Source organism: Homo sapiens, chromosome 9 (assembly GCF_000001405.40).
Source record: "Homo sapiens chromosome 9, GRCh38.p14 Primary Assembly".
Taxonomy (NCBI): Eukaryota; Metazoa; Chordata; class Mammalia; order Primates; family Hominidae; genus Homo; species Homo sapiens.
The window spans coordinates 105,834,491-105,845,892 of NC_000009.12; the positions used below are offsets into that span (position 1 = coordinate 105,834,491).

General features: G+C 44.1%; 1 annotated feature.

Annotated features, from left to right (window-relative positions):
- Nucleotides 969-1,469: an enhancer, noted in NCBI's record as "H3K4me1 hESC enhancer chr9:108597740-108598240 (GRCh37/hg19 assembly coordinates)". NCBI's record gives its function as "activates a minimal SCP1, AML or CMV promoter by ChIP-STARR-seq in naive H9 embryonic stem cells {active_cell/tissue: H9 hESC(naive)}" and the evidence as "EXISTENCE:reporter gene assay evidence [ECO:0000049][PMID:30033119]".

Sequence of the window (11,402 nt, forward strand, 5' to 3'; positions counted from 1 at the left end):
CCCCAGAAAAGTCTGGAGCAGAGGCTTTCATAGTGTGGGCTCCAAGTCAGTGCCATCAGCATCATAGGGAACTTGTTAGAAATGCAAATTCTCAGGCTGGGCACCCCAGACCTACTGAATCAGAAACTCTTGGGGTTGGGCTCAGCAGTCTGCTTTAACAAGCCTTCTAGTTGAATCTTAAGCTCAGATTTGAAAATCACTGGCTTAGAGCCATCAGAGATAAGCTGTTGATAAAACGTAGCCTGTAGTCATTGCAGAAAACTTACGGAAGTTTATGAGCCCAGACCTGCATTTCCAGGTGCCTTCTGGAATCTCCACCTGAGCCCCTCAATTCCCCTACTCTGCTTCCTCCTGTGGCATCTTAGTTAATAGTCCTGCCACCCTCCCTTCTAAATTCTTCTCCTCTCTCACTTTTCACCCAACCAGCCACTAAAAATCTGTCAATTCCCTTTCCTGAATGCTTCTATCCATCTGCTCCTCCCTTCCCACTCTCTCCACCTGCATTCAGGCTCTCACTACCTCTTGTTGGGTTTAGTGTGGTAGTGTCATATTTTTGCGGCATCTTCTGACCTTTGCTTCTGGAGTTTGCCCACTCTTCTCTCCACACTGCTGTGGAGCACTGATGGATCAGTTGTTTCACTGCTTAAAGACCTTTCAGTGCAGTAGACAAATTCCTTACCATGAGATTCCCAGTGCTTCACAACCTAACCAGAGACTCTGTTTCTAGCCTCCTCTGTCTCATGCCTTATGCTCCCACCACTCTCGCCTTTCCTGTCAATGCCATGCTCCTTCACAGCCCCTTACTTGGCATATGTGTTTGCCCTTTGCCTTGTATGTTCATCCTCATTATCTGCTTACTGAGGTTCTATTTAACAGCTCAGCTTCAAAATCACTGATCCTAAAGTCTTCCTTGACTCTCCTAAGGAGATTTAGAATCTCTCTTTGCAGTTCTCTGGCCATATTCTACTTTTAAAGGCATTTACTGCTGATATTGATAGCTTTCCTACCAAACTGTGAACTTCTCAGGGCCAAAACAACAAACAAACAAACAAACAATCTTATTCATCTTTGCATCTCCAGCACAGTGGTTAGCACTTATTAAGTAGGCGCTTAATAAACGTTTGCTGAAGGAATAAAGCAATGACTGTGTGTTGTTACAAGAGGATTTTCCTTCTAAGGAACAAAACCTCAGTTGCCCAGGTGTAGAATACTGCCTTTGAGAGAGTATTTATGTTCTGGATCATGGCAGCCATGGAAGAGGATCTGTTTCTGAGGGAAACCACGGGAGAGTTTGGGCAGGTGAAATGTAATTATCCATGCTGGCCCTAAGCCAAGGGTTTGCAGAGCTGCCACCAGGCCAGGGCTAAACACAAATAGGTATGACCTTCATCTTGCCTCCCTTCTGAAGAGCAGCTCCTCGGGCAGCCCGCAGCTCCGGAACAGCTTGCTAGGGCCTGGGGTCAGTTTCACTTGCAGGAAAGAGGCAGCAGAGCCCTGTGACCCCGCTGAGCTGGCTCCATCGCTGTTGGTTTAAACACACAGCCTGGTGTGGAAAAGGCAGATGGTCTGTGATCTTCCTCTCATTCTTTTCGGCTGCACCACTGCATTCCTTCTAGCTGAAGTTAGCAACACACACTTCCCTTTCGGGGCACAAGACCCCAGCATGTAACTATAACTTGACGTCAGGTTACCAGAAGCCAATTTCCTCACTGTGTTTGTGTGTCTGTGTCTTCATGTTTATTTCTAAAATCAATAAATCTCCCTACCCAAATTACAAAGCAACACATGCATAAATGCAGAAAATTGAAAAGCCATTTTGCAGCTGACCGTGAATCCTTTCTGGAAGAAGGTGCAGGTTACAGAAAAAGTGGCTGAGCTGGGATATAAACCCAGGAAGTGTGACTTTGCTGCAGCTGGGCTCTCAGTGGGTCTACCTGGGGTGGGGGTGGGTTGGAGGCAGCAGAGGCCAACACACATAGCAGGGACCTCTGAGTTCCCTGGTTTTGAATATAACTAAAACCATAGAACCTTGGAGCTTCCACAAATATGACCTTGGAGGTGGCCACAGGAGAGAGGTGGAGGAACGCAGAGTGGAGAAGGAGGCATGTTCTTTCTACAAAGCAATCTCACATTTAGTCAGTATTGTGCCTCTCAACCATTCTCTAGACAAGATTTTATGCACAGAGCAGAGACTTTCCCCTAAGCAGCAATATTCCTGTATGTTCTACTTTTCATTTTCTTGATTCTCCCTCCAAAGGTCTCCAAGCAATTTACAAACTGTAGGTTGTGTTTGCAATTCATACCCTTAAAGTATATCTATGTTTCTCTCCCCTCTCACTTTTCTTTTGTCTTTTATGATTGTGACTAAAAAAGAGGAAGAGTGGAGACCAAAGCTCATGAATGTATATGAAGCCATTACATTTGCTGGGCGAGATGCATGCTCAGGCACTCCTTTTTAAATGCTTGTCTCCCCATCACCAGAACTGCTTTGGAGCTTTTCCCTCCAATTGCACAAATTCATTATTTACTCTTTTACTGCGTCTATTTATAAATCCACATGGACCCTCTGGGAGGCCCAATTCGGGCCTCAGAGCTCCTGTAATGAAGCCTGGCTCACTCTGCTCTGATGTAGCTCACTGCTACTGCTGCTTGGGGGATACAGTGTGTGCCCACCACTTTTTTGGAAGGTCAGCGTGACTGAGGACAAAGGATTTTAAATTGTGCTCTGTGGAATCCTGGAATCTTAAGTAAGCTGCCAAAGAGTTCTAGGAAATAACAAAAATAAAATCAGCCATCGACACTGTTTTATTTTTCAAGGCACTATGATTTTGGTTTTGTTGTTAAACTTTTTCTGGGGTTAAAGTATATATCTAGTGCAAGCAGACCATACTCCCTGAAGTTTGTTTTAAAAGTTCACCAGCGGTGTGGGGCCAGTATGTCTGGAGGAGCCAGATGGGAGTAGTCACGGCGACATTCCCTGGTGGTGACTTCTCCTACATAGGGGTTTGTCTATTTGACCAGCTTGTCAGCACCAAGCAGACGATGCCTGACAATAGTAAGCGCTTAATAAATCTTTGTTGAATAAATGAGTGATTGATTTTTTTTTGGCCACGCTGTGCCTCTGATGGTCCTGGCTGCAGGCTTAATTCTGTTCCAGATTTTGTGCCCATTTTGACCAAAGAAGGAATTTTATCAGCAGCTTTACTGTATGTGCCTCGTATGCTTAGAGTCAGGACCCTCAGGCCTGATTGGGACCAAGGGACCCCTCATGACCCACTGACAGACCCCTTCAAGCTCCTTAAGTTTCCTTTGCTGCACAAGGTTTGCTCCCAGGGGAATTCCTGGGTGCTTGGCTCACCTTTGGTTCCAGCTCTTCCCTTTCTCCTCCAGTGATGACGCCCTGTGATTTCAGGGCAGGAGCTCTGGGGTCCTGGCACCCTGGGGTTTCTCTCCAGATGATTGCCTATATCCTCCTACTCCAGGGTCTTGGCCACCAGTTGAGCTGACCAGGTCCCTGGCATCAAACGCTTTGTAGCCTAGCTGCTCCTTGGAATCTGCTTCTCTAGTTAGCCAGCCCTCTCCCTCAGAGAGTGAGCACCTGGGTATGGGGGCAGGGTGTGTGTGTGTGTCTGTGTGTGTCTGTGTGTGTGTGTGTGTTTAAGAGGGAGAGAGGCTTTGACTCAGTTTCTCTCCTCGAGTGACTTGTAATGCTCCTCCGGACCCCCATCCTCTAAACCCCCCAGAAATGTCAAGTTTCTCAAAGTTTAGAGGAAAGGGAAGTCTCTAACCGCTACCTAACTGGTCATAGATAAGTTTACAGTAAGAGTACAAGTATTTCCACTAACAAACACATAGAGTGACTCCTTGGGAAAATATCGGGGTCCCTGGCTTTTTGCTTCCTAAGGTTGCATTTGTAATAAAGGAACAAAACTATTGTCAAAAATATGATTTATTGCAATTACTTTGGGAAAAGCACTCAACATGAGAGAACTTCACTTTTTAGAGGACTCTGCTCATTTCCCTCCATAGAAAGTGAGGGGGGTACCTCCAGGCATCCTAGCGTCGCTCAGTGGTGGTGGAAGCAGAAGTCCTGGTGGTAACTTCTGGTGAGGATACGGAGGCCAATGGCCCATGGGGAAGGAAAAGTAAAGAACATGGGAAAGTCTCCATGTGGGAGAGATGTGGAAAAGAAGGTTTTAGAAGAAGCAGCTGCTGGATTGAAGAATTACTGAAGGGTGGAAAGGAAATTTTAAGATGTGTCACTTGGATTATGACTGCAATCTCCTTAAGTGTTTCTTAAAAGCACAATAAAAGGTTCAAATTACTTTTGGCTGCTGGACTAGTTTATTTGAGTGAGACACTATGCTAGAATCAAACCACTTGGGAACCAGAGATTTTATTCATCAAATATTAAGTGCCAACTACTGGGGATACAACAGTGAACAAGGCAGACCAAAAATCCTTTCTCAAGGGCTTATTAGGAGAGACACAAAGTAAATAAAATAAGTAAATTATGTCATAGATCATAAGGTGATAAGTACTATGGAAAAAATAAAGCAGGAGAGGCAGATAGGGAATTCCAAGGGAGGAACGTATTGCAAATCTTAAATATGGTGGTCAGCAAACTCCTCCCAGAGAAAGTGACATGGGAGCAGAGATTGGAGGGTGTGAAGGGTTAGCCAGGCAGGCAAAGTCATGGAAGAGTTAGAAGTAGGACATATTTGTGAACCAGCAAGGAGGCCAGCATGGCTGACATGGAGTGAGTATGGTGGGAGAGATCAGAGAAGCAAGGAGACCTAACCATGCTGACTGTGTAAGCCATTCTAAAACCTGTGGCTTTTCCTCTGGAGGGCTCTGAGTAGAGAAGTGATAAATACAGCTTAGGTGTTTTTTGTTTTTTTTTTTTTTAACAGAGTTTCACTTTTGTTGCCCAGGCTGGAGTGCAATGGCGCGATCACGGCTCACTGCAACCTCAGCCTTCTGGGTTCAAGCAATTCTCCTGTCCACCATGCCTGGCTGATTTTTTTTTTTTTTGTATTTTTAATAGAGACAGGGTTTTATCATGTTGGCCAGGCTAGTCTCGAACTTCTGACCTCAGGTGATCCACCCGCCTCGGCCTTCCAAAGTGCTGGGATTACAGGCAGGAGCCAGCATGCCTGGCCTGGCTTAGCTATTTTTTTTTTTTTTTTGAGACGGAGTCTCACTCTGTCACCAGGCTGGATGACAGAGTGGAGTGGCCCAATCTCGGCTCACTGCAACCTCTGACTCCCTGGTTCAAGCAATTCTCCTGCCTCAGCCTCCCAAATAGCTGGGATTACAGGCATGTGCCACCATGCCCAGCTAATTTTTGTATTTTTAGTAGAGATGGGGTTTCACCATGTTGGATGGTCTGGAACTCCTGACCTCATGATCTGCCCACCTCGGCCTCCCAAAGTGCTGGGATTACAGGTGTGAGCCACTGCACCTGGCCCTAGCTTAGGTTTTAATAGGAGGAAAGATAGAAAGGGAAGCAGATGTCAAAAGAACAGTTACGAATTATTACAAAAATCCAGTGACAGATGAAGATGGTGACATGAATATAGTGAGAAGTGTTTGGATTTATTATAATTATACATCCATGTACCTATTACTTATTTAGATTAATAAATCTTTTAATAAGTAGCTTAATAAACATTTATTGAGCCTTCATATAGATTATAATCTGAAACCCCAAACCCAGTCAGATCCAGAATTCTAGGATTCTAAGGAATCAGAGATGGTAGCCTGAGAAAGCAAGGAGCTGGCACCTTCCTGTCATAGAATCTACTGAGAAGCATAAAGAATGAGTTTTTGGCAGGTGACATTCCATGTGGACAGAGGACTGGGTAGGGGCAAAGGCCCTGAGCTGAGCAAGGGGAACTCAGATGAATAGGATGTGTTTGGAGCTTGGTGCATGAAAGAGTGTGCTGGAGTTTATGTCTCCAAACTAGGTGGGAGGCGATCATGAAGCGCATGGTGATGATGAAAGTTGCAGGATAGGGTTGGGTGTGGGGAGGGACTCTTCTTAGCAACAGCCACAGCCTTAAAGGAAGACCTGCTTTTCTCAGTCCCAACCTGTTCTAGGGGAAGGAGACAGCTAGTTTGCCTGCAACCAGTTGGGATGCTTTGAGACTCTGAGGCAGAGGGTCAGAGCTGGAAGAGCCTTCAACATCACCCAGCTACTTCCACTCATTGTGTGTGCAGAGGATGGTGTGGAAATCTTGGAGGCCAGGGGAGTTTTTAAGGTTAACAGTTAGAAAATGGCAGAGCTGGGCCTTTAGCCCTGGACAGAGTTTTGTCAATTGCACCTGAATGTGTTGGAAGCTTTATTCAGCCTCTCCCTTCTCTCCTTTATCCAGTGGGATGGGGACCTATTTCTCAGGCATCTTTGGGCAGGGACCCATCCATCTGAGGGTCTGGTTTCTGTTTCTGCAGGTAAATCATGGATGGCACAGATTTTGCCCCAGAATCAAGCTGGTCTTGGGCTTTTTCTCAGGAGTTTTGCCTTATGGCCCTTTTTTGCACCTCTTGTCATCTGCCTTGATTTGAGACTTGCTCCAGGCTCCAATCTCTTGCTTCTATGATCTGCTCTTCTCTGCCTGATGACCTACCTGAGGCTGGGCCCAGTTCTGTTTGCTGTCTCTCCATCCACCCATCTTCTGTACAAGGCTGCAATACCAAAGCCTCATTTCTCTCCTACTATAAACTCCAAAATACTCTTTTCTAAACCCAGCCTGTAAGGGCTCTCTTCATGTCTGTCCCACTTTCCTTTTTCTGCACACATTCTTCTCCTTGCATCCTTAGTTCTTTCCCTTTCTGTTTTAAATTCTGACATCTTCTTCCTCATCTCGTATTATCTTCCTTATTAATTACCCCACTACTCACAAAAAATGTTTAGGGACAGTTGGATAATTTGGCAAGAAAGAATCCTTTTGGGAGTAAGGGGTAAGCAGGGAAAGAAGCTGTGGATATTCACGCTTTGTTATTTTTTTGCTTTCACATCTGCTTCCCATAACAAGTAGGGCACTGAATTTCAGGTTTGATCTGCACTGTGTGGATGGAGCTGTTATGTCTACTTTTCTTCCTTCTTCTTTGAACTATGTATTTTCATGCAATGGACAAAGATTTCCATTCTTCAGATTGCAATTTTAGATGGCCACATGTGAGCTTCCTGGTAAACCAAACACTTATCTTCCTCTCATCTGCTGCCACCAGCTCACAACACCTTGGTTTGACACCCATTTGTGCCATTTCCCATGGCTTCAAGTTTTGATCAGTCTATGCCTTCAAATATCACCTCTGTTCTGATGACTGTCAATTTTATACCTCTAGCCCAACGATCTCTCCAGATTTAAACCTCTTTAGATTGTCACAAAGCTATCAGTCTCTGATAACCATTACAAGATTGCAACTAAGTTTGAGTCCCATAATTTTCTGGCCTTCATCTGAGGTAAGTTACTCAGCTTTTTTTGTTTTGTTACTTAGCTTTTGAGCTACTTTTTCCTCTCCTGAAAATGGGAGAGAATATGAATACCCACCTGAAAGGGAGGGTGGGAAGACCAAATGACATAATTCATAATTGATGTAGAAGTGCCTTGTAGCTTGTAATGGATGTAAAAAAGCCCTCTCCAAATCTTCATTGCCTTGTGAGTTGTATTTGCAACTTCAGCAGATACCAGATAAATTTAGAAATTGCCCCTGCAATAGACATATGTTGCCACCAGGTGGCAGGAGAAACCTGTGATGCAATCAACGAGGACAAACATTCTCAGAGAGAATTAATAAAATAAATTCTGATTGTTAGAAGCAGCCAACTCTTTAGTGTTTATTAAATAAACAACAAAGCTTATTTATAAATCACAGAAACCCGGAATACGCCAAATATGAATTCTCTAATAGAGGGTGTTTCAAACAGTTTTTAGGCTCTGGTGCTCATTTTCCAGCCGAAACCTTACATAGAACCCCAAGTATAGAAAGTAGATAAAAGTGGCAGAACTTTTTCTGAAGTAGGGCAGGGACACTGGGAGTTAATTCACTCATCTTCCTTCTTTGTCCTTGAGCCACCTCTGCCAAACCTCAGGTCTTCATGGGACAGAGTTCTAAACCACTGTTCTAATAACTGTATAATGCCCTTTAAAAATATTCCTTTGTCATTGTAAAAAATGCATGTTGCTTAAAAATATATAGAATTTTAGATAGAGTTTATATAAAATATAAGTTATAAATGTATATAAATGTATGTAAATATAAAATTATAAAATTTGGGCCAGGCTTGATGGCTCATGCCTATAATCCCAGCACTTTGGGAGGCCGAGGTGAGAGGATCCCCTGAGGTTAGGAGTTCGAGACCAGCGTGGCTAACATGGTGAAACCCTGTCTCTACTGAAAAATACAAAATATTAGCCGGGCATAGTAGCGGGTGCCTGTAATCCCAGCTACTCGGGAGAGTGAGGCAGAAGAATCCCGTGAACCCGGGAGGTAGAGGTTGCTGTGAGCCAAGACTGCGCCACTGCATTCCAGCCTGGGTGACAGAGTGAGACTCCAGCTCAAAAATAAAATAAATAATAAAATTTATAGAGTTTGTAGCATATAAAATATATATATATAAAATACAGAATTTTTACAGAATCTATATAGAAGATATACTATATAAATGTACAAATTTTAAGTTTTAGAATGAAAAAAAGAGTCATTTTTTGAGGCACTTTAGAAAGTGCCTTAAAAGAATATTTCTAACATTCCAAGCTGCTCTTTGTCTCTGACTTGAGCCTGTTGGATATTTTTTTACCTAGCTGTTGGTTCAAGATGGCAGACTGGGCACACACATTCAACGTCTTCCACCTTTAAAAGTGTGAACAGGAATAAGTAAATTCAATGTAAGAAGGTATGAAAATAAATGAGTTTATTAAAAAGTGAGCATGAAGGTGACATAGGAGAAGGCGAAGAGTTTCTAGAATATAGAAGGCAGAAGGCATATCATATTTAAGCTCATGCGCAAACCAGACTAGAGAGGGCCAGGGCTCAGTTCTGCCCTAGAGAAAGCAAGAGTGAAGTCCAGAAGTCCATGGTGTGGAGAAATGTAGACGGAAAGTAGGGGGAGTGGCCAACCTGGAGATAAGGAACAAACTATCTCTAGGATGGCTGCCTTGATCAGATTTTAAAGCCCCTCTGGCTACTAATGAGTGTTCTTCCCATCTAAGGCTGAAGGGAAATCAGTATTTTCTAAAGTAATCGAGAAATCTGCATGCAAGGGGCCAGGCCCCACAATATGGATTGTTGGAGTCCATAAGACCGTCTTCTTAATATAGGCTCTGAGGTCAGAGGATGTCAGAGACAGTGCCACCTACCTGTTCTGCTTTCTCACACCAGGAAGAGATACCTTCTAGTGAGCACACTTCCCCTACAGAGAGAAAGCCCACATTCACTCCCCTCACTAGAGGGGCAAACATAAACCCATCTCTCTTCATTGATTAACCTACCAAGGATGTCCTATCTTTTGGCTTCCCTGGCCCACATTGGAAGAAAAGTTGTCTTGGGCCACACATGAAAGACACTAGCACTAACAATAGCTGATGAGCTAAAAAAAGATAATTGCAAAAAAAAAAATCTCATAATGTTTTAAGAAAGTTGATGAATTTGTGTTGGGCTGCATTCGAAGCCATCCTGGCCTGCATGCATCCTACGGGCTGCGGGCTGCGGGCTGCGGGGGTTGAACAAGCTTGACCTATAGACCATTCTGCAGAAATGTGAATGGAGAGCCAGTGCTCACCAGGCTCGTGAAGAGGGTGAGCAGCATAAAATGAGAATGAACAAACAGAACTGACCCCAGAGAAAATGGGGACAATTTAGGGAAAATAAGGGAACTTTAAAAGGATTATGAAGAATGTGAATTATTCAAGATAACGTACTCATAAAATGAAAAGTGTATATTATGATAAAGAGGCCATAAGTGAACAGAGAAAATTCCATGGAGATTTAAAAATAAGATCCATGAATTTAGGCTGCCACAGTGCACAACCCTAGGGGCGCCCTTTGCATTGTAGTGCTGTAAATGGAGCTACCTGGATGTGCAGTGCACAGCTGGTGTGGTCACATGTGATGACCTGAATGTGGAGGTCAGGGCACCTGGGTTCAAGTGCAGACTATGGCATAGCTGGAGAGATGGCTTGACCTCTCTGGGCTTTAGTTTACTCCTGCTCTAAAATACTGTGGGGCCAGGGATATATTCAGTGAGGGCACAGCATGAGGCCTTTTTCTGTCTTTGGTTCCTTTAGATGTTAGAGGTACCCCTCCACTCTCCAGCACTTCCCGAAGGTAGCTCTGCTACTGTCTAGGTCATTTAATATATGCATTTAGCCAGGTGTGGTGGCTCATGCCAACACTTTGGGAGGCCAAGGCAGGTGGTTCACCTGAGGTCAGGAGTTCGAGGCTAGCCTGGCCAACATGGTGAAATCCTGTCTCTAATAAAAATACAAAAATTAGCCAGTGTGGTGGTGGGCGCCTGTAATCCCAGGTACTTGGGAGGCTCAGGCAAGAGAATTGCTTGGACCCAGGAGGTGGAGATTGCAGTGAGCCGAGATCATGCCATTGCACTACAGCCTGGGTGACAAGAGCAAAACTGCGTCTCAAAAAAAAAAATATATATATATATATGTGTGTGTGTGTGTGTGTGTGTGTGTGTGTGCATTTATAACCTGTTGGAACTCTTTCCGCCTTTGGAGCTGAAGCTGGGAACGTAAAGGAATTGGGAGAGCACCCTCTCCCACTGCCCCTCACCCAATCTTTGACTAGTCCCAGAACAATTCTTTCTTGGCAATGTTTCAATACTGGGCTAGTATATATGTCCTTCATAAAGATGAGAATATAGAAAAATCAATACAAGGTTTATGGAAAAGTTCTGTAGCACAAGAGAAGCATGGTAATGTACTGTGACTAAGCAAATTCACTTTCCTCTGAAATAGATTTAGTGCAAGTAAATGAAACCATTAAAAAAAATATCAATTCCTTAAAAAAGGATACTTTCTTCCATTAAACTGACCAGGCTGTTTTGGGGGGGTGGGAATGGGGGGTAAGAACATAAAATGATGCATAGAAATGAAAAAATGTAGTAGCTAAAATAAAATCCACATGTGGATAAAGAAAGTGAAGACACACTACCATAAAAAAGCAATTAGGCCGGGCGTGGTGGCTCACGCCTGTAATCCTAGCGCTTTGGGAGGGCGAGGCAGACGGATTGCCTGAGCTCAGGAGTTCGAGACCAGCCTGGGCAACACGGTGAAACCCCGTCCTACTAAAACACAAAAAATTAGCTGGGCATGGCGGCGTGTGCCTTTAGTCCCAGCTACTTGAGAAGCTGAGGCAGGAGAATGGCTTGAACCCGGAAG